Raw genomic sequence first — 1,231 nt, 5'->3', positions numbered from 1 at the left:
CAGCTGTGTGGTGCTGGGGTACTGTTCCTGCCCCAGTCAGCTTGGACTCTCCAAAGCCTGCAGGCTGGAACAGCTGAGTCACTGAAGATGGCTGCCTGCCTCTCCCCCTGGGAAATCAAAACTCTCTTTGCCAGAGAATACAAGAGGGGGTGGCTGGAGGCCCTGGTTGGGAGGTCCTGCCCACTGAGGCAGAATGGATCAGGATCCCAGTTAAAAAAGCAGTCTATCCATGTTTTGGTAGAGCAGCTGTGCTGTGCTGTGCTGGGGGATCCCTTTGTGCCCCCAGTCTTAGGAAAGTCAGTTTTGACTCTCCTAAGCCCACAGGCTGGAACAGCTGAGTCATGCAAACAGCAAAGATGGCAGCCTGCCCCTCTCCCTGGGAACTACATCCCATCCCAGGTAGGTGCAACACCGTTGGTGGCTGGCTCAAATTCTGAGCCAGTGGGTCCTATCCTGTGAAGTGTCATGGTTGTGGGACCTGCAGATCCATGCTGCTCAGCCCCTTGGATTCAGCCCCCTTCCTAGGGGTATGTAGGAACCTCCTGCCTTGCCTGAGTTGCAATCAACTTTGTCAGGGATCCAAGAGCCAGAGCATATAAAGCTCCTGGGTCTCTATGCCCACCTGAGCAACTGCTCTGCTGAGACTCCACACGGCTCTGTGGCAGACTGAAGGCCCTGGTGGCTTGAGCTCACAAGAGGATCCCCTGATATGTAATTTGCAAAGAACTGTGGGAGAAGTGTGGTTTCCCAGGGTTGCACATTCACTCACCACTTCTCTGCATGGGGGGAGGTTCCCTTGGCTCTGTGTTGCTCCCAGGTGGGCCATTGCCTTGCCCTGCTTTTCTCTATTCTCTGTGAGTCGAGCTGTTTCTCTGATCAGTCCCAATGGAGTATCTGGAAGTTTCAGTTAAAAGTGTTGTATTTACTCACCCCTTTCACTCTTCTCTGTGAAAGCCACACACTGTAGCTGCTTCTAGTTGGCCATATTGGCCCCATCCTTCCTCATCTTTTTTTCACTACTCCATGGAAAGCGCTCTAATCAAAGTCATCATTAATGTCATGATTGTCAAGTAATGCCTAACCATTCTCAATATTTGACCCTGTGAACCATTCTTTCCTACTTTGAGTTGTCCCCTGCCCTGACTTCCATGTTTCTCTTATGTTCTAGTGTCTCACATTCAGTCTCCTTTGATGGTTTACCTTCTTAATCCAGCCCTGAAATATTAGTGTT

General features: G+C 50.8%; 2 annotated features.

The window, feature by feature from the left end:
* Positions 409 to 508: an enhancer, noted in NCBI's record as "active region_27420". NCBI's record gives its function as "activates an Ori minimal core promoter by ATAC-STARR-seq in GM12878 lymphoblastoid cells {active_cell/tissue: GM12878}" and the evidence as "EXISTENCE:reporter gene assay evidence [ECO:0000049][PMID:35858748]".
* Positions 879 to 938: an enhancer, noted in NCBI's record as "active region_27419". NCBI's record gives its function as "activates an Ori minimal core promoter by ATAC-STARR-seq in GM12878 lymphoblastoid cells {active_cell/tissue: GM12878}" and the evidence as "EXISTENCE:reporter gene assay evidence [ECO:0000049][PMID:35858748]".

This window comes from Homo sapiens, chromosome 8 (assembly GCF_000001405.40).
Source record: "Homo sapiens chromosome 8, GRCh38.p14 Primary Assembly".
In the NCBI taxonomy this organism is placed as follows: domain Eukaryota; kingdom Metazoa; phylum Chordata; class Mammalia; order Primates; family Hominidae; genus Homo; species Homo sapiens.
Note: the sequence above shows the minus strand (reverse complement) of the source record. Positions and strands in the feature narration are given on the sequence as shown.